At 39.3% G+C, this 27773-nt stretch overlaps 1 long non-coding RNA gene across 1 annotated transcript in view; it reads left to right on the plus strand.

Moving 5' to 3' along the window:
* NALCN-AS1 (NALCN antisense RNA 1) overlaps positions 1-27773 on the plus strand; it is a 350962-nt gene that overhangs the window by 281781 nt on the left and 41408 nt on the right. Inside the window, exon 3 of the long non-coding RNA NR_047687.1 lies at positions 23113-23245. This is a non-coding gene — a long non-coding RNA (NALCN antisense RNA 1). The remainder of the gene's footprint in view (positions 1-23112; positions 23246-27773) is intronic.

Genomic DNA, 27773 nt, shown 5'->3' on the forward strand with positions numbered 1-27773 from the left:
GGAGGGTGAAAGAAAAAGGAGTGTCGCCTAGATCAGATCAACAAAAGCCTTCCAGAAAACTTCAGCTTATGTCTCAATAGGCAGAACTATGTTAACGTTTTTAGCTGGGCTTATAGCAAACCTGATCAAATTTGGGGTTCTATTAGTAAGAATAGAAAGAATGGATATTGGATAACATCATTCAGATTGTAAGTGGTGAAAATGGAATTTGAACCTCTAGACCAGTGATTCTCAATGGGATGATCAACCCTTACCCTTCCCAGGGGGCATTTGGCCACATCTGGAGATATGTTTGGTCATCACAACTGGTGTGTGTGGGTGCTACTGGCATCTCATGGGTAGATGCCAGGGATACTGCTAAACATCTGCAATACAGAATTAACCAGCACAAAAGTCAATAGTGCTGAGCTTTGGACAACACAGGAGACTCTGTCTAAAAAAAAAAAAAAAAAATAAGAGCCAAGCTTGAAGAACGTTTCTTAGTCACTCTGCTATTCTCAACTATTTCTTTATCCAGCTCTCAGCTCTTTCTTTATTCAGTTCCCATATATTTTCTACACATCCGACAAAGATAATTTAAAGACAAACTGATACTTTTCCAGGTTTCCTCAGGTCTTGTATGCCATTCTGTAATAACTTTAGGAGTAAGGAAAGAATCTAAGAATTAACTACTTGGTTATTCTTGGCTAAGAATTAATTACTTGGTTTTTTAAAGAAGTTAGTTGTGGAATGAATACTGTTTAAAACATAAATGTAATATAATAATAAAAAAACCCAGAATCTCTCCCCACTTTGATCCAGAGAAAGCAAATTTCTGTGAATGCATGGTGAAGTTGAAAAGGAATGTTAATGTGCCAATTCAGTGAAATACCAACATCTCTGGGAGGTGGCCTCTGTGGGTTGTGACAGTACTAAGGAAGAGAGAAGACAGTGCAGATGCTGACTGGCTTTTCTTAAAGCCTAAAGAACTGGCATTATGTGAAAGAATTAGCAACAAATGGAAAAGACAGGGTGGAGGTGGAGGTATAAGCCCAGAAGAGTATTCTTGAATTTTTTTGGCTAGAAATATACCTCCAAATACACCTGCCGGATACTATAAAAATCTGAACATCACCAAGGAATGTAGTCACCAGATTGTCTAAAGTCAATGCTAAAGAAAAAGTCTTAAAGGCAGCTAGAGAAAAAGGTCAGATTATGTACAAAGGGAACCCCATCGGGCTAACAGCAGACTTCTCAGCAGAAACCCTATAAGCCAGAAGAGATTGAGGACCTATTTTCAGCATCTTTAAGGAAAAAAAAAAAAGAAACTCCAAACAAGAATTTCATACCCAACCAAACTAAGTTTCATAAGCAAAAGAGAAATAAAATCTTTCTCAGAAAAACAATCACTAAGGGAATTTACTACCATTAGACCAGCCTTGCAAGAGATCCTTAAGGCAATTCTAAACATGGAGATGAAGGAACAACATAATCCACAGACCCTTTGAAGCAACACACAAAAGAAACTATAAAACAGCTAACTAGCAACTTCATGATAAGATCAAAGCCTCACATATCAATATTAACCTTGAATGTAAATGGTCTTAATGCCCATTTAAAATGTACAGAGTGGCAAGTTGTGTTAAAAAAACACCACCACCACCACCCATTCATCTGCTGTATTTAAGAAACCCATCTCACACATAACAACACTCATAGACTCAAGGCTGGAGAAAGATCATGCAAACAGAAAACACAAAAGAGCAGGGGTTGTTATTCTTATATCAGGTAAAATAGACTTTAACAACAGTTAGAAGGAGGACAAATAATGGCACTACAGCATGATAAAGGGTTCAATCCAACAAGATGACATAAGTATTGTAAATATATACACATCCAACATTGGAGCACCCAAGTTCATAAAACAAGTACTTCTAGATCTATAAGAAGACTTAGCCACACAATAATAGTGAGGGACTTGAACACCCTCTGACAGTGTTAGATCATTGAGGCAAACAACTAACAAAGAAATTCTGGACTTAAATTTGACACTTGACCAATTGAACCTAATAGACATCTACAGAACACTCTATCCATCAACCACAGAATACATATTATCCTTATCTGCACAGGGAACATAATCTGATTGACCACATGCTCAGTCGTAAAACAAGTCTCAGTAAATTCAAAAAATTGAAATCATATCAACCATACATTCAGACCATGGTGGAATAAAAATACAAATAAGATCGGGCACGGTGGCTCACGCCTGTAATCCCAGCACTTTGGGAGGCCAAGGCAGGTGGATCACGAGGTCAGGAGATTGAGACCATCCTGGCTAACATGGTGAAACCACGTCTCTACTAAAAATACAAAAAAATTAGCCAGGTGTGATGGCGGACACCTGTAGTCCCAGCTACTCGGGAGGCTGAGGCAGGAGAATGGCGTGAACCTGGGAGGCAGAGCTTGCAGTGAGCCGAGATCGCACCACTGCACTCCAGCCTGGGCAACAGAGCGAGACTCCATCTCAAATAAATAAGTAAATGAATAACAAGAAGATCTCTCAAAACCACACAATTACATAGAAATTAAACAACCTGCTCTTGAATGACTTTTGGGTAAACAGTAAAATTAAGACAGAAATTTAAGAACTCTGAAATAAATGAAAACAGAGACACAACATATCAAAATCTCTGGGATGCAGCTAAAGCAGTGTTAAGGGGAAAGTTTATAGCGATAAACACCTACATGAAGAAGTTAGAAAGATCTCAAATTAACAATGTAACGTTGCACCTGAAGGAACTAGAAAAACAAGAACAAACTAACTGCAAAGCTAGCAGAAGAAAAGAAAAACTAAAATCAGGGTAGAACTGACCAAAATTGAGACACAAAAAGTAATACAAAGAATCAACAAAAACAAAAGCTGGCTTTTTTGAAAGGATAAATAAGATTGATAGATTGCTATCTAGATTTACAAAGAAAAAATGGGAGGAGATCCAAATAAGCACAATCAGAAGCAACAAAGGTTAAATTAGAACTGATCCTACAGAAATATAAAAGATTCTCAGATTATTATGAACACCTCTAACAAACTAGAAAATCTAGAGGAAATGGGCAAATTCCTGAAAACATACAACCTCCCTAGTCTGAGTCAGAAGATAAAACCCGGAACAGACCCAACTTCAGTAAAGATCCAGGATATAAAAATAAATGTACAAAAATCAGTAGCATTTCTACACCCCAATAACGTTCAACCTGAGACCCAAATTAAGAATGCAATCCCATTTATAATAGCCACAGACACACACACACAAACCTGGAAATATATCTAACCAAAGATATAAGAGATCTCCACAAGGAGAACTACAAAATGCTACTGAAAGAAATCATAGATGATACAAACAAATAGAAAATGTCCCATGCTCATGGATTGGAAGAATCATCATTAAATGGCCATACTGCCCAAAGCAATCTAAAGATTCAACACTATTCCTATCGAACTAGTAGTGTCATTTTTCACAGAATTAGAAAAAAACTATTCTATAATTCATATGTCACCAAGAAAGAGCCCAAATAGACAAAGCAATTCCAAGTGAAAAGAACAAAGCTGGAGGTATCACACTACCCAAGTTTAAACTATGCTACAAGGCTACTGTAATCAAAACAGCACTGCACTAGTACAAAACAGGCACATAGACCAATGGAACAGGATGGAGAACCCAGAAATAAAGCTGCACATCTACAGCCATCTGATCTTTGACAAAGTTGCCTATGGGGTTTTCTAGGTGCTGGGATAACTGGCTGGCCATATGCGGAAGAATGAAACTGGACTCCTATTTCTCACTATATACAAAAATTAACTCAAGATGAATTAAGACTTAAATGTACAACTACTCCGTGTTTTTGGCCTGAGCAATTAGAAAGTTGGAGTTGCCATTTAATGAGAGAAGAAAGACTGTGGGAGGAGCCAGGGTGTATAGGGAAGTTCAAGAGTTTATTTCTGGACATAAAAGTTTGATATGCTAATTACATGTCCAAGTAGAGATGTCGGGTTAACTGCTGGTTATGGGAGATTCAAGTTCAGAGGCAATGTCTGACTTCAGTGGCAATTGTCTGATACATAATTTTAGGACTCATTAGTATTTAAGGCCAATTAGGGAGACAATTCGTGAACTGGAAGATTGGTTTGAAGGAATGAAAAATGTGGCAAAGAGTGATAAAACGATAGGAAATAAGAAACAGACGAATAGGCCTGGAGGAAAGGAACAGGATGCTCCAACATATGTCAAGAGGAGAGAGCAGAAAGAGAAGATAGTAACAGTGGGAGAAGAAATGATACTTGGAAAAAATATGGCTAATAGTTTTCCAGAATTGATGAGAGATATGAATGTGTACATTAGAAAATCCGGAGAATATCAAGCAGAGTGAATAAAAGTGAAAGTAAACTTTGATATACCAGAGTGAAATTGAAGATTAGAACAAATAAACCCCCCAAATCTTAAAAAGCATAGAAAAGAACAGATGAGGCTGGGCACAGTGGCTCATGACTGTAATCCTAACACTTTGTGAGGCTGAGGTGAGTAGATCACCTGAGGTCAGGAGTTCGAGACCAGCCTGGCCAAAATGGTGAAACCCGGTCTCTACTAAAAATACAAAAATTAGCCAGGCATGGTGGCATGTGTCTGTAATCCCAGCTACCTGAGAGGCTGAGGCGAGAGTATCACTGGAACCCAGGAGGTGGAGGCTGCAGTGAGCCGAGATCATACAACTGCACTCAAAACCTGGGCGATAGAGAGAGACCTTGTCTCAGGAAAAAAAAAAAAAAAAAAAAAAAAATCAGATTCATCTAATTGTCAACTAGATTGATGGTTCACTTCTCAATAGCAAAAATAAAAACCAAAAGCACTAGAACTGCCAAAGTATTGAGAGAAAATAACTGTCATGCTGCATAGCTAACCTATCATTCAAGAACAAAGGAAAAATAAAGATATTTTCAGGCAGACTTAAAAAAATCTTCTGAAGAATATATTTCAGGAAGAAGGAAGTTAAGTGAGCTGCAAAAACCAATAGTGAGGTGCGGGGAAAAGACAAGTGTATGGGAAATCTAACCAAATAATAAATATACAGAACAACAAAAATAAGAATAACAGATCCAGATTATGGGGAAAAGACAGAGGTAAATTGCTGGCAGTAATAATATATAAGATCAGAGACAGATAATCAAAGTTAAAAGTTTCTTGCAGTGATTGTGACTAGAATTGAGCTACTGATTAGATTTTGTTTTCTTTTTTCTTCTTCAAATTTTATTTTAAGTTCAGGGGTATATGTGCAGGATGTGCAGGTTTGTTACATAGGTAAATGTGTGCCATGGTGTTTTGCTGCATAGATCATCCCATCACCTAGGTATTAAGCCTAGCATCCATTAGCTATTCTTTCTGATGCTCTCTCTCTCCCAACCCCCACCAAAAGGTCCCAGTGTGTGTTTTTCCCCACTATGTGTCCATGTGTTCTCATCATTCGGCTCCCACTTATAAGTGAGAACACATGGTGTTTGGTTTTCTGTTCAGGTAATAGTTTGCTGAGGATAATGGCTTCTAACTCCATCCATGTCCCTGCAAAGGACATTATCTTGTTCTGTTTTACGGCTGCCTAGTATTCCATGTCGTATATGTACCACATTTTCTTTATTCAGTCTATCACTGATGCACATTTAGGTTGATAGCTATTGTGAATAGTGCTGCAACGAACATATGCATGCATGTATCTTTATAATAGAATGATTTATATTTCTTTGGGTATATGCCCAGTAATGAGATTGCTGGGTCAAATAGTATTTCTGCTTCTAGATCTTTGAGAAACTGCCACACTGTCTTCCACAATGGTTGAACTAATTTACACTCCCACCAACAGTGTAAAAGCATTCCTTTTTCTCCTCAAGCTTGCCAGCATCTGTTATTTTTTGACTTTTTAATAATAGCCATTCTGACTGGTATGAGATGACATCTCATTGTGGTTTTCATTTGCATTTCTCTGATGATCAGAGATATTTGTTAGTGAGGTGTGTGGGTTGTCAAATGTAACACTAAAAAATAAAACTTCCAGATCATTGGAGGTTAAAAAAAGAAATAAAACTTGGCCAATGTAATATAGAGAAGAGAAAATGAAAGGGGCAGATAAAAGCATAATAAACAGAAATAACAAAATATAGAAATTAAAATTTCAATACTTATGATCTCTGTAAACAAACTCACTATTTTTAAAAGACAGAATCAGATTGGCTAAACAAAATCTGTAAATATGTTGCACTTAGGTGTGTGATGGTCATTTCAAACTTAGGAAACAAAACTTATTTCCCAGTTCTTCATCTGTCCATGTCAAGAGGCCTACTGCAGTCATGTTCCTGGCCTCTGGCCCTAGTGCTTATGGCTTCTTCCCATAACCAATGGCCCCGGATTTCCTAGAGTGAGTCAAACGAATCTAATAAAATGTTGCAAAGCCTGGAAATCCACTTCTTTTCTTCCCTCTCTGCCTTGGATCTGTACAAGGCAGCAATACTGGGGAAGTGTGTCTTCCCTTAGATTTAGACTTTTCCTTGGGTGTGCTCTTCTAAGGTCTGGACTAGAAGGTAGAGGCAGAGAGACAGACAGACAGACAGACACACACACACACACACACACACACACACACACAGAGAGAGAGAGAGAGAGAGAGAGAGAGAGAGAGAGAGAGAGAGAAAGAACCAGCCCAACTGGCTTTCACAACGAAGCCATATTCTCCAAACATCTTTAGTAAGAAAGGTGATGGTAGATCTCTTTGCTTGGCCCTAGAAACCTTTGGTTTCAAACCAGAAATTGGAATTGAGGTGTTGGTTTTTAAGCCTCCTCCCAACCCAACAAGATTTCCAAACCGTACTCCGGGTCTTCTTCTTAAACTTGCTCCTCCTGCAGTCTTGCATCTCATAAAATGGCTATTCAATTCTTCTAATCACCCTGGAGTCATCCTTGATGTGCCCTTTCCATCACATCTTACATCCAACCCAACAGCAAATCATCTTGGTTCTGCCTTCAAGATACATTTAGAATCTGACCGTGGCTCCCTACTTTCAGTGCTGCCCCCCACCCCGCTCAGCCATCCATGGAAGTTTCTCACCTGGAATATTGTAATAATGTGTTCTTCAATGCAAATCAGATCTGGTCACTCGTCCACTCCATTTCACTCAGAGGAAAGTCCAGCATCCTTATCGTCACCTCAAGACCTTTTGGGAGCTGTCCCTCCATCTCGCTGGCCCACCCCAGACCTCCTCTCCTGTGCTCTCCCTGTGACCCTTCACTCTACTTACAGAAGTGGGATTGGCCACCTGCTATCTCCAAGTGTACCCAAGCCTACTTTTGACTGTGGGCTTGTTCCCCAGCTCTTCCTTAAGCCTGGGGTCTGTTTTCCTAGGTATTTCCCTGGCTTGCTCCCTGGTTTCCCTGGCTTCTCAAATACCACTGTATCTGCAAGTTCTTCACTGACTACCCTCCACAAAACAGTACGCCCTCCCACTCCCCCATACCCTCTTACTCTAATTTGTTTTTCTTCATACCTCTTGTATTACCTTGTTAGTTGTTGTCTTTCTTCCTCTCCTGCCCTCTGACTGCCCCTTGTAGACTGTAAACTCCTTGATTGCAGGGACTTTGTTTAGTTCACTTCTGTTCTCCCTTTGCCTAGAACTGTACCTGGCACAGAATAATCAGTGAATAATAGTTTTGTTTTGAGTTAACTGTGAATGCTATTTGTGAGAATTAATCCTAAAATATGGAATAGGAAAAGGTTGAGTTGAAACTGAAAACATTATTCCAGGAAAATATTAACCGGAGTGGCTGGCAGTGTTAATGCCAGGCCACACAGACTTTAATGAGAAAACAAAATTTAGGAGAGAGACAATCACTATACGAAGAGAAAAAAAGAAAAATCTCTAGTAAGATACTAGAATTCTAAACCTGTTTCCACCCATGTTACCACTTGGCTCTGTATGATGCAAACATTTTAAATGACATTTGGAAGTGGACAGATCTACAGTCATGATGAGGGATTTGGCATGCCGTGCTCAGTAATTCATAGTATAAACAAAAATACTAGGCAGGATATGGGAGATTAAAATTTGAAAGCTTAATATAATGGATACACATCCTTGCTCCCAACATGTAAAGAATTCTTGAACTTTCATGACACATGAAACAATTTCCTAAATAGTGACACTAGAGCAAATTTTAATAAATGCCAAAAACTGATATCAAACATGCCATGTTCCCTCGGTGCAATCATACCACAGTGCAATCAAATTAGAAAGCCATATAAAATATTAATCCTTATCCATAATTTAAAATTTTAAAACACAATTTTAAGTATCCCATGGGTCAAAGAAGAGTCCATTATGAAAATCCAAAAATATCTGGAAGTGAATGATAGCACCAGTGTTACGGAACACAACTCATGGGATGCAGTTAAAACTGGAAAGATGGCTGTATCCTAAATACCTCCATTAGAAAGGAAGAGGACCACAGAATCAGAACTAAGTGTCCAAATGAAGACTCTTGAAAAAACTCAAACTTCATTTTTTTCTTCTCATTTTAAAAGAAATGAAAACTTGTTCTGGCCCCTAAAAGTATTGCTGGCTGTCATCCCTGGTTCTATGATGCATGTGTAGGCTGAGATTCAGCTAAATGGAGCATCTATGGCAAGAGGCTTCAAGGAAAGCATGAAGAAAATCCAGTAAGTTCTCATGTCCCACTCATGCATTTCTTATCCAGCCTTCCAGCTGGAGTGCAGTACGCAGTCGCTGAGTTGATCCTGACGGCATGTCCTCTCAAGGACCAAGATTGTTGGTGACTTTTTCTGTGTGTGATGAATCGTGAAGTGACTTGGCAGAAGTGAGAAGATGCAAATAGGCAATTAGCTTCTGAAAGTTAAAAATTGATGCAGTAGAAGAAAAATAATATTTTTGCTTATCCTCTATTTTCCATATCAAAATAAGATAAACATAAGTGACAGAAACTTTGCTTTTAAAGACAAGTAAGGAGGCAAGGTAGATGTCTGCTCTGAATTCATCATTCACATGGCTAACTTTCTCCCGTCCTTTGGGTCTTTACTGAAATGTCATTTTATCCCAGAAGACATCTCTGACCACCATGTGTAAAATGACAACATCCCCTAACATGAAACACCCCAAAGCCCCTTGCTCTCCTTTATTGATCTCTGTGCCCCATCAGGAATGGGAACTGACTTGGCAATTACTTGGTGTCGGTGTCTTGTTCATCGTTGTTCCTACAACCTATGGTCGTGGTTGACATAAATATTTACATCTCAATTGGTGTTTGATGAATAAAACATAAATGTATTTGCTAGAGTATTTATTAAAATGGGGCTCTTGGACTTGAACCCTTGGCAGTTCCAAATGCTGACCACATTAGAAGCTTCAACTATCATCTGGTTTAGTGGTCAGAGTTGATTTGGCTAATTTGAATGATTCAGCAAGAGTCTTTTGAACCTATTCATTATGCTAATTACATCCTTCCCAATCTGCCTGGTCCAGGGGAGATTTTTTTACCTGTAGATTGTTCTTCAGACTAGAATAGACAAGAAGATTTCCCCTCTTTTTAGAATCTCTGCAAATGTTTTGAAGAGATATTTGAGGAGAAAAAAAATTCTCCATTCTTCCTTTACTTGTATGTGAATCTGGACTTGGACATTTAGAGCAATTCCTGCTGATCAACCTGAAAAGAGAAAATTTAAGAAAAGAGATACAGGAAGATACTGGAAGTAAAGTCCCTATAGGACTTTGTAACTTAAAGTATCCCAGGACACTTCTGTTCTCTGGTAGTGATAGAAAGTAATATTTATTAAAGCAATTTGACAAATAAAATGGCATTGCCCTGAGTGAAAAATGGGGTTGTAATAACCCCGAATGACTGTTGTTAGTATATGGGTAATGATGAGACTCTTTATCCTCTGTCTTTGTTGATAGGTCATTCTTGCCATCAGTAACTGGAACAAGAGTTAAAATGCATGTGGCATTTCCAAAATGCCATTTCTTGTAGAAAGGTTAGCACCGTAATAAAGTTTTAGGGAACATATGAGGCCTGCTTTCTTGTTTATTGTAGGACGTGTAGTTAAAAGGCTTGTTGTCAGCCATGCCAAAGATGATATGATTGCAAGCTAGTTACAACTTGGTTTCTAAACATTCAGTGACCTGATATTATGAACAATTAGGGTGTTGGAAGGAGCAATTATTCTTTTCACACATGTATTTTAATTCTAGGGAGCCTCTTATATGAGATGTATGCAGAGATACTTCATGGTGAGTGAAATAATTTCCTTTAAATTTCAAATAGATGTCAAAACACCATGTGATAAAATCCAGCATGCAAGTTATATGATCAAAGTAAAGTCATTTTCATAAGACCAGTTTTGCATAGGATAAGAGTAAAGTTCTTTAAAATGTTTTCTTTGACTCAGAAGAATTCATTATAGAAATTATGTTGACCTAAAACTGGAAGATGAAGAAATTAGATTTGAAGTATCACAAAGTGATTTATGGGACCAGCCACCTGTCACATCTGAATCAAAGTTCAGGGTAGTTGCTGTTATACTTAATAGCACACCACTAACAATTATAAGGAATGAAGACAAAGTAAAATGTATAGAATTTATGGAGCACCGTGCAAAGCATTAATGATTAATGATTATGAAATATCAACTATATAAGCCTAAAAATTTTAGCACCTTTAATTTTACAAAGTATTCCACATCTATTAGCTTATTAAGCACTCAAAACGACCCTCAGTTTCAACACTTATCTTGGGCCAGTTTTACCAGTTCTCAGGGATATTCAGGAAGTTGCTCAGGAATATCTATTCCGAGACACATCCTTCTTAAGTGGCAGAGCCTGGAATCTTCTGCATTTTTTCCTACCATTCCCCATGCTGAATATTTAAGTCCAGCAACCTCCTTGTCTTGCACCATAATTTTGGCTGTTTAATACTGGGTGCTGCAGATGTGTAAATGAAGATGGCAGAAAATGTTCATATGACTGAAAGAGATGATAACATAGATGTTTTAAAATAATTTAGAAAGCCAGTATGAGGGAATAAGTTCTGCCCCAAATGCCAACAAGCAGCAATTTGAATATAAGCGATACTGTATTTATCTTGACTACTTTCTAGACTGAAATTGGCATATTTAACCTACAATTTAAAAATTGGTTATCCATATATGTAGTTTAAAAAGTGGAGAGCATAAAAGAGCTTATAATGAAAGGCAGTGTCTTTTAAAGGCACAGACTGATCCCAGTCTTCTCCTCCCCATCGTGAGCTCCCACCTTTATGAGTTCTGCATTGACTTTAATATTGCCAGGCTGCTAACGTTGACGATCTGAGTTTTAACATGGATTAAGCCTCCTGTGCTTTGGCTATCAAATGATTAAAAAACAATAAACTGCAATAGCCTCCTGATAGGTCTCTCTGCTTCCGCCTTTGCCCCTTCTAACTTGTTCTCACTGCAGCAGCCTGAATGATGTTGTTTGAGATCACATCGCTCATCTGGCCCCATTCCCTGCAATGTCCACCATTCACTCAAAGTGGAAGCTGAAGTCCTTCTAAGGACCTATAAAGTCCCACACAACCCACCTACCTCCTCCCACTCAACTTCCATCCCACCTTCCCACTCTCTCTCTCACTCTTTTGCTCTGGGACAGCCACCTTTACCTTTTTGGTTGGCAAATAGCCTTCTCGTCAAAAGGCTGTTCATGGCCTTCAGATGGCTACCTCCTCGCCACATTCAAATCTCCCTTGGATAACATCTTTTCACCTAATTTCATTGGCCCCTATGCAACTTGCTTCACAACTCACACCCTATCCCTCTTTGCCTGTTCTAGCATTTCCCCAGCGCACTTAACCCTACAAAACTTACCTAATGATTATCTATAATATATTATGGATTTCCTCTAGAATGTAGCTTACAATGGGGAGGCTTGTTTGTTTACTGTCTTGTTCACTGATGTAGTCCATGTGCCTACACAAGCCTGGCACATAGTAGGGAGTCAATAAACACGTGTTGAATGAACATGCAGAATTCCTGTTAAAATGATTATACAAACATTGCTTACTGAAAATTGAGAATGGAGTAGCTTCTTTTGATTATACTTCCTTCTCTGTGGTTCCAGTGTCACGAGCCCCATGCAACTTAAGGAAAAACGTTCAAATTGATTCAGCATTCTTGTTCTCCACTAAAGCAAACAAAACAGAAGTAGGCATGGTCCAGATAGAAAGCGATTAATATAAGAATTAAAAAGTGGCATGATTTTGAAGTAATTGTTCTTTTTTCACGAGACGTCCTTCTCTCTTCCTATCCTTCTCCTTCCTCTTTTGCTCCTTTTACTTCTCTTGCTTCTCTGGATGTAATACATCATTATATCAACGCTCATATTAATATTAATTCTCATATTAATTAGCCATTTTTGCAAGTCCCCCTCCTTTCCCTCTGGGATTAGCTTTTCTGCATAATTCGTCATGGTCATTGTCATGCTGCAGGCTTTCTTCAGATTTCTGGTGGTTCTTGCTTTCCCAGTCATATTCAGACTGAGGCTTCCCTGGTGGCATTTGTAAAGCAGCAGGATTTTTTTTTTTAGAGGACCTGGTGATTAAACTGAGGATTACCCTAATGCTGGAATGTGGGGGGCTTTGCTCCAGGATGTCAAAACCCTACATTAAGGGTTATAATTATCACTTGGTAGTTTGTCTATTTCTTTAGAGAAAAAAAGTTGCAGCTTTCTTCATGATTAAACATCTGTCTTGCAGGACAATCTGTACATGGAGTTGCGGGCTTCAGGCATTTCAGATGTAGACTATTAATTAACATCCCTCCCACCCTGCCCTCTGCCACCTCTGCCATCCTGATGACAGAGCTGTACTGAGATCCCACCAGAGTCTGGCTTCCTCCTTAGCTGCAGCCTTCTCTGCACCTATTTCTGTCTTCTAGAAATTTGTTTTATCTCTTGTTTTAGGCAGCCTCCCTCTCCCATATTTAATTAATTTGTGAGTATATAGTTAATAACCACATTGCTTTATTAACACCTTAAGGAAGTCTTGGGAAGAAGTGGTCATACATGTTTGCACTCAGTCTGCCATCTTGAACAGGATCATATGGGCTGGTTGTAAATTCTGTAGTTTATCCGGCTGTAATTAAGTATGGATTATGGCTATTTGATAAAAACAGTATAAAGGTGGTGCCATAGAAGCTTGCTTCTCTTCACTCTATTCTCATTGCATTGCAATTAATTTACACTGTGTATGATACACGTGCACTTAGGCTTCCTGTGCAACAGTAAAGTCTATGTGTCTGCTCTCCCTTCTTACCCCCACTGTCTTGTTAATCTCTGAAGGATGGAGATTACACCTCATTCATTTTGAAGTCCTTATGCTTACCCCAGACACAAAGATTTCTAGGGAATACTTGTTGAATGAACCAGAGCAAAATCTAAGTAAGAGTCCAATACCTCTTTATTTTAATCTTTACTATTACAGATTACTGCTTGTGCTGTCATTGTTTCTATCCCAAACTTGGAACCATTCAAACAAAAATGCACTCTTAGTACTTAGAGTCAAATTCTTCCTTTGACTTCTGTATCTTCAGGGATGTAGGCCAACTTGGTGCAATCCCAGAACAAATTCCTATGGGTGAGAACTTGTCAGAAGTTTCCCTCTCTCTCTCTCTCTCAGATCTAGACTGTTCTAGCAAATAAAAGGAATGTTTTTAGTTTGCCTTTCTAAACTCTGGATTTGCTTGAAGGTCTGTGTGTAATTTCTTGTGTGTAATAAAGGCCACAGTACAGAATGATGATGATAATAGGTACTATTCACAATATTTATAATAGAAATATGGAAACTAAAATTATCTCAGGAGGCAAATTAGAAATTGCAATAATAAGTACTATTGTAATAACAAGTCAGTGAGGGATTTATATAGGCTGATTATTAAAAAACATGTTACCAATGAATCTTTTAGAAGTATTTTAAAAGGCACTTGGACAAATCACTGCTAAGTAAAAATTTCAAGAGACTGGCCTACCCCAAGTAATTTGTTCACAGAAAGCACGATGCAGGATTCCATGAGCTATAGTAGACCTTTCATTAAGGAAGCAGTGACATAAATCATGAGTGTGGAAAACAGGGCTTCCAAGAAGTTTAATGAAGGAGATGTTGATTTGACATGAAGCATCTCAGTAGGCAGGCACTGTACCACCTCCATGTATGGAAAGAAGGGCCCCGCATGTGCCTAAGGATACATGTTGGAGCCTGCACTACAGACATGGGCATCTTGTGTAGCTCAGCATGTCACTGACCTTTGCAGCAGAGCAGACCTCACTGCATGCTCATCACCTGTGCCACTAATGGAGTGGTGCACCCCACTCCAACACGAGGCTTTTGGTGGTGCCAGATGGCACAGGAAACTCTTGAAAAGACACAAACTCAAGTCACATCAATACATTTTTTGCTTGGGTTGGTTTTACAAATCCACATTGCTCTCATGGATCGGGTAAAAAAAGATGGAAACTGAGCTCACGCTTAATGTTGATATTTCTCACTTGGATGGTACCTCCAGTCAGCTCCCCTAGACTTACTCATTTGCCCCATCCTCAACGTTTTAAGCATTCATTATATGCTTCCCAGTTATAAGTGTGTCAGCCTCATCTAGCCACATTTACTAGCTTTGCCCTTCCATCAAGTTGGACAGTAATCTCTTGCTATAATTTGAATATATCCCCCAAAAAGCATGTGTTGGAAACTTTATTCCTAATGCAACAATGTTGGGAGGTGTGTCCTAATGAGAAGTGATTAACCCTGAAGGCTGTGACCTCCTGAGTGAATTAATGCTGTTATCATAGGAGTGGGTTCCTTATACAAGGATGAGTTTGGCCCCCTTTTCATTCTCTCATTCTGTTGCCTTCTGCCATGAATGATGCAGCAGGAAGACCCTCACCAGATGCTCACCCCTTGATCTTGGACTTCCCAGCCTCCAGAAACATGAGCCAATAAATTTTTGTTTATTATAAATTACCCAGTCTCAGGTATTCCATTATAGCAGCACAAAATGGACTAAGACACCTCTCATTGTCTCAGCTGTCCTGTAGAGCTCATCTAAGTACAGCTGAGTGTAGCTCACCAGAATTGTTCCTCAAGCACTCTCCACTCATTTTGTGCATCCTATATAGAGCTTACCTCTTAAGCACTATGTAGTATATTGTATGTATTTTTACTCATCTTGTGCCCATGGCCTTCTGTTGCTTAATGTACCTATTTTACTCCATAACACTGAATAATATGCCATATGCAAAATATGGTATTTATGTCTGCACAGATGAAATTTTATACTTTAGTAAATCTATTAAAAGCTTGGTTTTTTTTTTTTTTTTTTTTTTTGTTGAGATGAAGTTTTGCTCTTGTTGCCCAGGCTGGAGTGCAGTGGCATGATCTTGGCTCACCGCAAACGCCACCTCGTGGGTTCAAGCAATTCTCCTGCCTCAGCCTCCCAAGTAGCTAGGATTACAGGCATGCACCAACATACCTGGCTAATTTTGTATTTTTAGTAGAAACAGGATTTCTCCATGTTGGTCAGGCTGGTCTCAAACTCCCGAACTAAGGTGATCTGCCCACCTCAGCCTCCCAAACTGCTGGGATTATAGGCGTGAGCCACTGTGCCCGGCCTAAAAGCTTGAATTTTATGCCCTTTGGTAACACATCTTAAATTTTTTTTCCTGACAGTTTCACATTGCAAAAGATATCACATATTTCATTTGACACTTGCATCCCTCCTATGTAGGGAAAATGAACATGAAAGAAAATTCAATGAGCAGAATCTATAATGACATGCAATTTTCCACAACCCTGACTATTTGTAGGTGAATCTTCTGAAATTCTTCCCAGTTTCTATCTGCATTTTCTTTATTGACAAAATCTTCCAAACTTTTCTTAGAAATCATTACTTTTGCACTAATATCTTATTTTTCAAACAGTGACTTTCCTTAGTTGTGATATCATAATTTCCATATTGCAGGGTACCTCAAATTCAAGTTATTTTTCTGATAGAGATTGTGTATGTTACTGTAGACCAGTGGTCCTCAACCTTTTTGGCACCAGAGACTGATTTCCTGGAAGACAATTTTTCCACAGACAGGGGTGGTGGGGAGATGGATTAGATTCTCATAAGGAGGGCACAGAATAGATCCTTCACATGCGCAGTTCATGATAGGGCTGGCACTCCTATGAGAATCAAATGCTGCCACTGATCTCACAGGAGGTGGAGCTTGGATGGTAACATTTGCTCACCCACCACTCACCTGCTGTACGGACCAGTTCCTAACTGGCCATAGGCTGTTCGATTTTCAATAATATTGTAGAGGCTTTCCTGATGTTTTTGTAGCATGAACTAGATGATTATAATAATAGCTACCTATTTTGGGGTAACTACTGTGTGCAAGATTCTTTCCACATGTAGACCCCACCTCTCTAAATGCTTCTGTTTACTATGTGGAGAGTCAAATGTGAGCTCTGTCTCATATGGTGGGTAGATTAGTCAGGGTTCTCTAGAGGGACAGAACTAATAAGATAGATATAGATATACAAAGGGGAGTTTATTAAGTATTAACTTACACAATCACAGGTTCCCACAATAGGCCACCTGCAGGCTGAGGAGCAAGGAGACCCAGTCCGAGTTCCAAAACTGAAGAACTTAAAAGTCCGATGTTCCAGAACAGGAAGCATCTAGCATGGGACAAAGATGTAGGCTGGGAGGCTAGGCCAGTCTTGCCTTTTCATGTTTTTCTGCCTGCTTTATATTCGCTGACAGCTGATTAGATGTTGCCCACCCAGATTAAGGGTGGGTCTGCTTTCCCCAGCCCACTGATTCAAATGTTAAGCTCCTTTGGCAACACCCTCATAGACAGACCCAGGATTAATACTTTGCATCCTTCAGTCCAATCAAGTTGACACTCAGTATTAACCATCACATTGGGGAAGCCACCCTCTCTCCCCCTACAGTCTGCTGAAGGGCCTCAGGACTGGCTTGCATTCTGCAGCTGCAAATGTCTAACTGGCTCAATTCCTGTCAAACTGCTTCTTCTGGTTGTCTCCACTCTCTAGCAGCTTTCTCATTACCTTACTTTCCCAGTGGAGACTTGAGGAAGGTATAAGGAAATTAGAAATGCTAAAAAGAAAGGTGTCAACATTATACATCATCTAAAGTCCATAGGCTACATTCCTATGTGCAGTTTCCTTCATTGGCCCTGGTCTAACCCCTTGTCAAGTCCCACTGCTTCTTAATGTCCCTCTTCTGGGAACGCTTGAATACTGCAGCCATTACACCTCTACTATGTCTTTTGTGAAGTCTTATTTAAGTCTCCCATCCAATATTCTATTGGTTATCTGTCTTTTTCTTAGTAAGAAAGAGACGGGTGAGGCTATGGTGTTCCCTTATCTCCAATCTAAGACAATCAACTATCCTGAGTAATGTGTCTTACATTTTCCTTCCTGAAAATTTTACATCACAAAAGGTATGAGATGTCTCATTTGACAACTGCATTTTTTTTTTTTTTTTTTTTTTTTTACTAGTTATCCTGCAACTAATAGAAGAAAGAAACATGGAGAAAATGGAGCAGATATTCAAAGTAACTGTATTTGACTTTGGTTAGCAATGATACAGACTTGGCAGGCATAAAACTGACTGTGCCATTCTGACACCCTCACTCTCTCAGCAGGTCTGATTTACTCCTGATGTTCACTTCTGGTGAGTTAATATATTACAGCAGTTTAGAATTAATTGCACCCTGTTGTATAAGTTAATTCTCATTTAATTCTTTTTCTTAATCTTACTAGCTTTTGGCTTCATAATTCTATTAAAATGGGGCAGTATATAGAAACATAAGCTGTATCAGAAAAATAGCTTAACTAATTTAATTTGTTTTCTTAAAATTGGCTGGTTTTTGCATCATAATGCCATTCAAAATGGGATGGTCTATAGAAACATATACAAGCTGTATTAGAAAATAGCTGGGCTTAAAGGCATTTTATGATATAGAAGCGATTTTCACCCGATTTACTATTTTTCCCCTGAAATCAAATATCAATATAATTAGTCTGCAATTGTGGGAATCAACCTTCTTCGTTTTAAATATGAGCATGATGATGTATTCCTGTAGTCCTGGCTACTCAGGAAGCTGAGGTGGGAGGATTGACAACCCAGGAGGGCTCATAGTTGCCATGCCATTCTTAATTTTTTTAATAAAAGATTTTTTTGAAGTATAGTGTATATATAGAAAAGTATCCAGGCTTTAAGAGCCCAGTTTGATGAATTTTCATAAAGTGAATACATCCATGTGCCTACAACTCATGTAAAAAAGCAGAATGTTGGCAACCAGACCCCCTTCCTCATACTCCTTTTTATTTTATTTTTAGTTATTATTATTATTATTATTATTATTTGTAGAGACGAGGTCCCACTATGTTGCCTAGGCTGGTCTTGAACTCCTGGGCTCAAGTGATTCTCCCATCTTGGCCTCCCAAAGTGTTGGGATTATAGGTGTGAGCCACCATGCCCCACCTCATACTCTCTTTTAGTTACCGTTCTCCCAAAGGTAACCTGACTTCTAATGCCACGGGTAACTTTGCTTGTCTTTGCAATTGATTAGTATGTAATTTTGTGTGTACATCTACTTTTGTTTTTGAGATCATCAACACAGTTGAATGTAGCATGTTTTCATTGTTGTATTCTACTGTATGAATATACAACAATTTTATAATTTATTCTAATGTTGATGGACATGTCATTTATTGCACATGTATATACATTCCCAGAGGAGGAATTGCTAGATCCTAGAGCTATACATGGTCATTTGCTATCTAAGAGTTTTTGAAAGAAGCTGTATTATAGACTCCCACCAACATTACACGATAGTTGCAGTTACTCAATGTTCTTGTCAACTTTTGGTATTCTCGGTCTTTTGGAATTTTACTCATTCTAACAAGTGTGGAGTGGCATCTCACTGAAGTTTTAATTTTCATTTTCCTGATGACTAATGAGGTTGAACACCTTTTCAGGTTTCTTGGTGATTTGGATACCCTCTTTTGTGAGGTGTCTATTTAAGCCTTTGGTCCAACTTTCTACAACTTATTTTTTTCCCTTTTTATTGATACTTTAAATAGGCAGGATTTAAATCCTTTGGCAGTTATATGTATTGAAAATATCTTCTCCTACTTATATTTTTAAATTTACTTCATGTTGAATTTTTCATATACAGAAGTATCTAATTTTAATATAGTTAAGTATGAATATTTTTCTTTACAGTTAGTGGTTTTAGCACCTATTTAAGAAATCTGGTCTACTTCAACATCATATACATATTCTCTTATGATGTCTTCTAGAACTTTAAATTTTACCTCTCACATTTGGATCTACAATCTAACAGGAATTGATTTTTACTTATACAGTGAGACGGGGTCAAAATTGATGTTTTCTTCCATTTGATCCAGTATATAGCATAATTTGCTTGCCTGATAACAGAAGATAGATAGTAACAATAATGAAAACAGAGAATGTATAGAATGATGCTCAGGAAATATAACACAACAAAAACAAAGCTAAAATAAAACCCAACAAAGAGCAAAGATTGGGTGATTGGCTATGTCTGGAGGCAATTTTGGGGTATGTATTAACACTCCCTCCAAAACTAATTTCCCATATGGCTGGGAAAGGAACCTATCACCTCCTTTTGAAAAATAACATGACTGTAAGTATTCAGATTTCATCACGATATACAGTCCCATTTCTTCTCTACAATATGCTCTTTCACATTATATGTTACATTTTACATCAACCTAAGATTAATACTCTATTTCCAAGCTTTATGCAGAATCAGACAATTTGTCATTCTTTGCACTCTGTTGTGGGAGATGAAGAAAAAAAAACCCAACTATTGTTTTGTACAAAAATAGCATTAAAAATTTTAAATTCTATTTTCCTTATTAGTTCAAGACAATGTATCCACTTTTCTTTTTTATTGGATTTGGAATTGTTATTGTGTAATACATTTAAATTCCCCAGTGTTTTATTAGAACAGCCTATTAAATTATGTGTTTGGAAGAGATGCATTCATCTTTTTACATATGAATGTTATGTAAAACTGTGGTCATGCATTTCATTTGCTTCCCACAGTGTGACTTGCGGAGGTACAGGACATCTAGGAGCATTTAGAAACCAGTTATAGGCTGGTAGATCAACTCAGAGAACAAAACAGTTGATAACTTGTTGCTTTTTATTAAGGATAATAAATATAAATGTATGTTTCTAAAGCATTAAAGACGTATATCTTCATAGCTACTATATATCAAGGGGCTGCAGGAAGCTTACATAGAATTTGAAATGACAAATATGGGCTGTGCATAGAATTTGAAATGAGAAATATTGGCCATTTTGGGGGTTGTCTCTCAGGAAGGGAGGCCGAGAGGTGGGTGTGTGGTGCTTCATCATAGAGTGAGAGGAGTTCGGGAAGCCCCAGTGTGGAGTTATGGCATTTTAGCCCTGCTTTAAGTTAAGCTGAGCTAAACATGATACGATAAAATGATCTGCAGCTTTTCTCATCAAGGCGATTCTTCAGTGATCTCAGGAAACTGGCTCACCTGGACAGAATCTGGGCATAAATTACTATAACAGAAAGGCCAAAAAGAGAAGCTTGCGAAGGAGCAGGGGAAGTAAGAAAGAGGGAGATACTCATTTCTCAACAGAATTGAGGAGCCATATCTCTAGTGAGTGGCATATATTGAATTTAATAATGTTTGTCTGCTGGAGCAGACATCAACATAGGGTGTAAAATTTGGTGTGACATCGATCTTGGACTTGGTGTATATATATACCATTTATATATATATGATATATATATATACCATTTATATATATATGACATATATATATATACCATTTATATATATGAGATATATATATACCATTTATATATGAGAGATATATATACCATTTATATATATGAGATATATATACCATTTATATATATATGAGATATATATACCATTTATATATATGAGATATATATATACCATTTATATATATGAGATATATACCATTTATATATATACCATTTATATATGAGATATATATATATCATTTATATATGAGATATATATATACCATTTATATATATATGAGATATGTATACACCATTTATATATATATGAGATATGTATACACCATTTATATATTATATATATACCATTTATATATATGATATATATCCATTTATATATGATATATATATCCATTTATATATATATGATATATATACCATTTATATATATGATATATATATCATATATATATCAATCACAAACTCCACCCTTCCCCACAAACACCTCCCAAACTAAACCCAAACCCAAAGTTGATTCTATTCAGCAAGTCTTCTCTAAAATCTGCGGCCTCTAGTTTGATCAGGCCAAAGAAATATTCAACTGTTTGATTCTTTTAAAGTCCTATTGTGTCTGAAGTTTCTTTTACCTTCTTAAAATTCTTATCTTGATCACACTTCTCTTTGCATCTGTGTCTTTTTCCACAGTTGACTTTCCAATTTATTAAAAAACACAAAAAAGCAAAAAACAAACCACCACTAGCAACAACACCCCCCGAAATCCCCCCAAACCCTGAGGTCTATATATTTCCCAAATGTGCCTTGGCTTTTCTTTTTGCTTAATTTAAATTTGTCCTATGTCTCAACATGATGTACAACTCTATGTGTGTGTGGCTACTTTTATACAGAATTGTCATCTGGCAGATTTTTTTTTTTCACAGTGTTAAGTTTTGGAATTGCTTTTTCAACTGCTTCTCTGCTCTGTAGTCTCTTGACTTGAAGTCCTGAATTCTTCTGCTGGCATTTCACATGTAGTGATGTTTGTTGTCTCTGAAATATTATGTCTGGAGTGAGCATCCCTTCAAAAATATATAGAAATATGTTTTTTAAGGTCCATGCCTAATAAAACTGCAGCTGTCTATCTGCTGAGGGAAGCAAGGAACTGCAGCTCTTGCACAGGAATAAAGTACTAGAAATATCATTACCCAGAAATTCAAGAGCTTCAGGTGCAGAATATACCAAAATAATTTCTGTTACCTGCATTCAAAATGTGGTTATGCTGACAAAACCTTCAGACAATGTGTATATGGCAAAGAATCTCTCTGAGAACCAGAGAGAAAAATCAGGAACGTTGGGGCTGTATGCACATCTAAATTCATAAAGATATTTTGGAATGACATTAACTCTGCTTGCGAGTTTCACTGGAGAACCACTGCATCACCCTCCAAAAGGAATGTATTAATATTTAGTCATAATAATGAATCTAACAAGGAAGCAATCATGTAATTGAACAATAACAGCTGTGTGTTTCCCAGAGAAGATTCAAATCAAACAACAAGAACAGAGCTTCTGTAATTTTCTCTATGCTCTTTTCTGAAGAAGAAAGGATGTTAATGTTGTATTGTTTCTTTCTTGTTTTTTGTTTTTTTTGAGACGGAGTCTCGCTCTGTTCCCCAGGCTGGAGTGCAGTGGCGTGATCTCAGCTCACTGCAAGCTCCGCCTACCGGGTTCATGCCATTCTCCTGCCTCAGCCTCCCGAGTAGCTGGGAATACAGACGCCCGCCACCATGCCTGACTAATTTTTAGTATTTTTAGTAGAGACAGAGTTTCACCGTGTTAGCCAAGATGGTCTCGATCTCCTGACCTCGTGATCCGCCTGCCTCGGCCTCCCAAAGTGCTGGGATTACAGTATTGTTTCTTTCTTTAAGTTCTTTGATATTGAGGTCAAGACTATGCTTCCACATTGGTTGACCCTCCTACCTGTTAAAAATATAAGATCTGGCTGTATCCAAAACACATGCCATTTCCAAAGCGGATTTCATATTGTCTCTTCAGGACCAACTAGGTGGCAGGAAGCTAGGACCCTCATGATGTCTTGGAACATTCAAAGTCCTGTTTCTCAGTGGGTGGAAGAGAATTAGTGAAACAACAACCACAAAAGGCTGCTGACCTTTGTTTTCCTTTGCAAGCTGACTTCTCAAGCTCTGGGGATGCCTCAGTGATCTCTGATGTGGAATTAGTGGAGGCTGGCCGTTGCTCACCTCTACACAGCCTGCTGGTCGTTAGCGAGCAGGAGTTCTGATGTTCCTCTCATCTTGGATGGTAAGAAATTTATGAAAATGCTAAGTCCTGAGGATTAATAGAGGAAATGAGGACTAAATATACAAAATAGTCCAGAAGGTGGCAGGTGGAACACAGCAATAATATATGATGTTAGTCATCAGTCATTAGTGCCACAGGGATCCTAGGCGATGGCTGGGAAATGGCTTTTGCAGGCTGAGATGGTGGTAGCGCTTCACCCTCTAAGGCAAGTGCCTATGATTCAATGGGTGAACTCACTGCCACCCCAGCAGGGTGGGGTTGGGGTTGGCTTGGTGAGAAGGGAGATGTCATCTTGCCCAAGGAGGCTTATCCCTTGTGAAAGTCTGGAACAACACACAAAACACCAGGAGGAACTGTTTCGGAGTGCTGTCTTGAATGCAAGCAGGCAGCCTCCATTTAGATCTCACTGATTCTTCTAGGATATTACAAAGCACTTTCTTACCCCAAATCCTTCAGTGCCACCCTGCCACTAAATACAAAGAAGAAGCTCTGCTTCCCACCGTGCAGAGGAGCCACAGGGATTGCATGGTCCCCATGACTGCCTCTTTGGCCCAGGGAAAGGGCCCAATCAGACAGCACCCCAGATCTTAAGAGAAGAACTTCCAGTCAAAACAACAGGGCACCCCCGTGTGCTGGAAGGTCCAACTCTCTCCAGTCCCAAGAGTGTTAAGCATCTGGCTAAGGCTTTGCTAAATTTCCCATAAGAGCTGCATTGTTTTCTTCTGTCTGTTAGACCTAGGAAGTTTTCTGGGTGTGGACGTAGGGCTTTTGCAAGTTTCAAAGCTTCCAGGGGATTAGAAACCATCATTCCCAAGCATTTACAAGAAAATCTTTTGTCTCCACTGCTTGATATCGAAAAACAAGGGTCACTCTTCTTTTCCCCTAAGGAGGGAAATGGGAACACCCCGCTGACCATCTCCTTCTGCCTCAGGCACTTTCATGGAGACAGTCGAGGGCTTTGGGGCCTGTCCTACCTGGTGGTCTACTCAGTAGAGCCATCGGGCTGAAAAGGAGACATCTGTTAAGGTAACTGGTGATCCCATGTAAAAGCTTTGACTAAACCACAGGAGCTGGAACCACTTTCTCAGTAAAGCATGCCAGGAAGCACAAATAAAGTCATGTGCTGCATAAGGACGTTTTGGTCAATGAGGGACTGCATAAATGATGGCGGTCCCATAAAATTATAATATCATATTTTTACTGTCCCTTTTCTATGTTTAGATAAACAAATATTACCATTGCATTACAACTGCTCACAGTATTTCAGCAGGAAAGGGCCCTTCGGGAGGGGCTCCAGCTTGCCTCTCCAGGTCTAGGTCTTATCGTTCTTCCCCTTGAAGTTGACCCTACAACCTTATTAAATCTTCTGCAGTTACCAAAAGTGACAATGTGCTTGGCCTTTGTTTAAGCTGTGCTCTCTGCCTTGAGCTGTCCTCCTTCCCTCTGCTCAAGTGCCCCATTTTTCATGTCCCTTGGGAACAAGCTCAGGTGTCATCACTGAATTCAGGTAGATGCCCCTCTTATCTGTCCCCAGAGCATTCTGCACTTATCCCCATCACAGCACTTCTCATGCTCTGTTATAATTTCCTTCCTATTCCATTAGCATATGAGGAACCAAGGGCCATGTGTCATTCATCCTAGTACATGTTACTTAGTGGAGTTGCATAAATACTTATGGAATGAATAAATTGACTAAGAGGTGAGCTGGGCTCAGCTTGTGGATGATCCTGAAAGATAGATTGGCAGACTCTTACCTTTTTTGGGAGTGTGCAACCGGAAACTGCTTATTGTGTTTTTGAGGTGGGAGATAATTTATTGGGACTGTCCTTTGGCATGATAGCTCTAGAATGAGTGCTAAGGTTGAATGGGATGGAAGAGAGAGCCAGTTAGTAAGCCATTGCAGGGTGCAGGTGAGACAGAATAAACTGAAGTTAAATAGGAGTAATGCGGGAACATTCAAAATAGGGTCAGTAAGAAGTGATCACAAATAACGCAAGGGAGACGGAGGAATCAAGGGTGATGTGGAGGTTTCCAGCGTCTACTGAAGTGAGTGAATGAGGATGCCTCTTTCCCACTAGAGGAAGATAGGTATGGGGGTGGCCACAGCTGCCCGGTTGCATGGATAGGAACTCCTTGACTTACCTTTTATTAGAAGATGGGTAATGATGACTCCATCACTGTAACTGCAATCTATTCTGGGTGAAGAGTGCCCATACGGTAAATGTTTTAAAATATTCTGAATATTGCCCCTGGTCCCAAGGGATGAAGGCATTGTGGAGGAGTTTTCCCTTAAGCATAGTTGAAATAGGAGAAAAAAAAAAGAAAAGGAAAAATCAGAAGTTATGTCTTAGAAGGGTGTTGATGTGGATTGGTTTACCAGGGTTGCTGTAACGGAGCAGCATGGCCTGGGTGGCTTGAACAACAGAGGTTTATTTTCTCACAGTTCTGGAGGCTAGAAGTCTGAGATCAGGCTGTCAGTGGGTTTGCATCCTCCTCAGGCCTCTCTCCGGGCATGTAGGTGGCTGTCATCTCCCTGCGTCCTCACAGGGTCTTTCCTGTGTGGGTGTCTGTGTCCTCATCTCTTCTTCTAAGGACACAAGTTTGTTTTTGGATTGGGATCCACCCTAATTACTTCACTTAACTTTAATCACCTCTTTAAAGACCTACCTCCAAATAGGGTCACGGTGTGAGATACTGGGAAGTTAGGACTTCAATATATGCATTTTGGTGGCAGGAGGCGCACAATTCAGCCCGCAACATGAGGCATGAGCAAAAATATAAATTTAAACAATGTTGGCAAAAACAGATTCAAAAGCAAAATGCAACGCCAAAGCATGAGGAAAGGGAAGAAGTTTTGGATAGTAGGCATGGATGAGGTGGTCCCGAGGGAGAGAAGAGGCTGGGGCACCACGCGGAGGGGTTTGGTAGACCCTGAGTGGTTTCTCTCATTGTAGAGGGTCAGGAACAATTTGAACACAGAACAACTGAAGAGCCAGGCTTGACGGCTCTGTTAAGGAAAAGACACTTTTAGGACGTGCAGTTGGACCTTTTCAAGAAGCTGTTGGAGGTCAGGGTCTGAGTTGAGAAAGGAGCTTGGTCCTGTAAGTCATCGACACTCAGTTGCTTCTGGATCCCATCCTCACCCCCTGCACCGCGGGGTCCTTCTCAGGGAACGGGCCACTTCCCGATGCTCCCTGGGCTGCCATCAGCTGCCATGAACACTCTGCTTAGTGGAGGCTCCGTGGCCTGTGAATTAGCATCAACCTGAAATAACAAGCAGGGGCTTCCTATGAGTCAGCCATAGTCTGTTCAGAGATGCTGCCTAAAGGGTCTAAATCCAAAGGCATTAATTAATTTGTTCCCAGGGTCCACAGCATGGGGAGCTCAAGCCCTTCCATTTCCGCTCATTGATACCGGCTGGGTAATATTATGTGGGTTCCATTTTTAATGTAGAATGCTTTATTTGACAAACATCCAGACAGCACCCCCAACTTTGTTTTCTTGAGCAGAAGAGAGAAAACAAGAGATGAAGGCATTGATGCATCAGCCCTGCAGAAAAATGGCAAAGGTTACAATATGTTATATTTAGATCCGCAATTTGCCGAAGGAAGATAATTGGGAAATTAAGTTGCCTGGTTGGGAAATCAGCCGTCCTTTTGTTTTTGTCCGGTTGTGTAGTCTCATAAATGTTCAGGGCTTCAATACCTTTAGGCACTTATAATTAATTTTTTAAAAATTGGAAGATTCAGTATATAAGCTGCCTGATTTAATGAAATAAGTCAAAAGGAGAAAAAAGAAGGGAGTTTCTTGCAGTAATTGGTTGTTACATTTTTCCACATTGCCATTCTAATTCATTCCTTTGAAAAGAGTTCGTTTTTCAGATTCTATAAGTACCCATGGCAATAAGTGCTATTTATAATAAAGAGACATAATGAGTCTCAGCTGCACCCAGGGAGGTTGCAGCAGGTCAGGAGCCTCTCTGTCTGCTCCATTGTTGCTGGGAGAGAGGGTCTTGTTCCAAGGGTTGGGTGGGAAACAGGAATTCCCCACACTGTCCCTGAAATTGTGGAGTGATGAACTAGGGAGGGAAGTCTTAACTGGAATTTTTCAATATTAGATTTTCCAGAGACTTCATTCAGCCCACTCTTCAGTAGGGAAATAAATCCTTTATGTAGAAAAAAAATCAAACCATTTCCTTTTGAATAAGGTAATCTCTGAATCTGAGGAACCCCGAGATAAGATGATGTATTAGCCTGCTCAGGCTGTCCTAACAATGTACCGCAGACTGGGTGGCTTCAACGTCGGAGATTTATTTCCTTGCAGTTCCGGAGGCCGGGAGTTCTAGAATACATCAAGGCATCCACAGGGTTGGTGTCTTCTGAGTCCTCTCTCCCGGGCATGCAGGGGGCTGTCATCTCCCTGTGTCCTCACATGGTCTTCACCCTGTGTATGTGTGCCTTACTCTTTGCTTAAAAGGACATCAGTCATATTGGGTTAGGGTAGAGCCTCATTTTACCTTCACTACCAT

Source organism: Homo sapiens, chromosome 13 (assembly GCF_000001405.40).
Source record: "Homo sapiens chromosome 13, GRCh38.p14 Primary Assembly".
In the NCBI taxonomy this organism is placed as follows: Eukaryota; Metazoa; Chordata; class Mammalia; order Primates; family Hominidae; genus Homo; species Homo sapiens.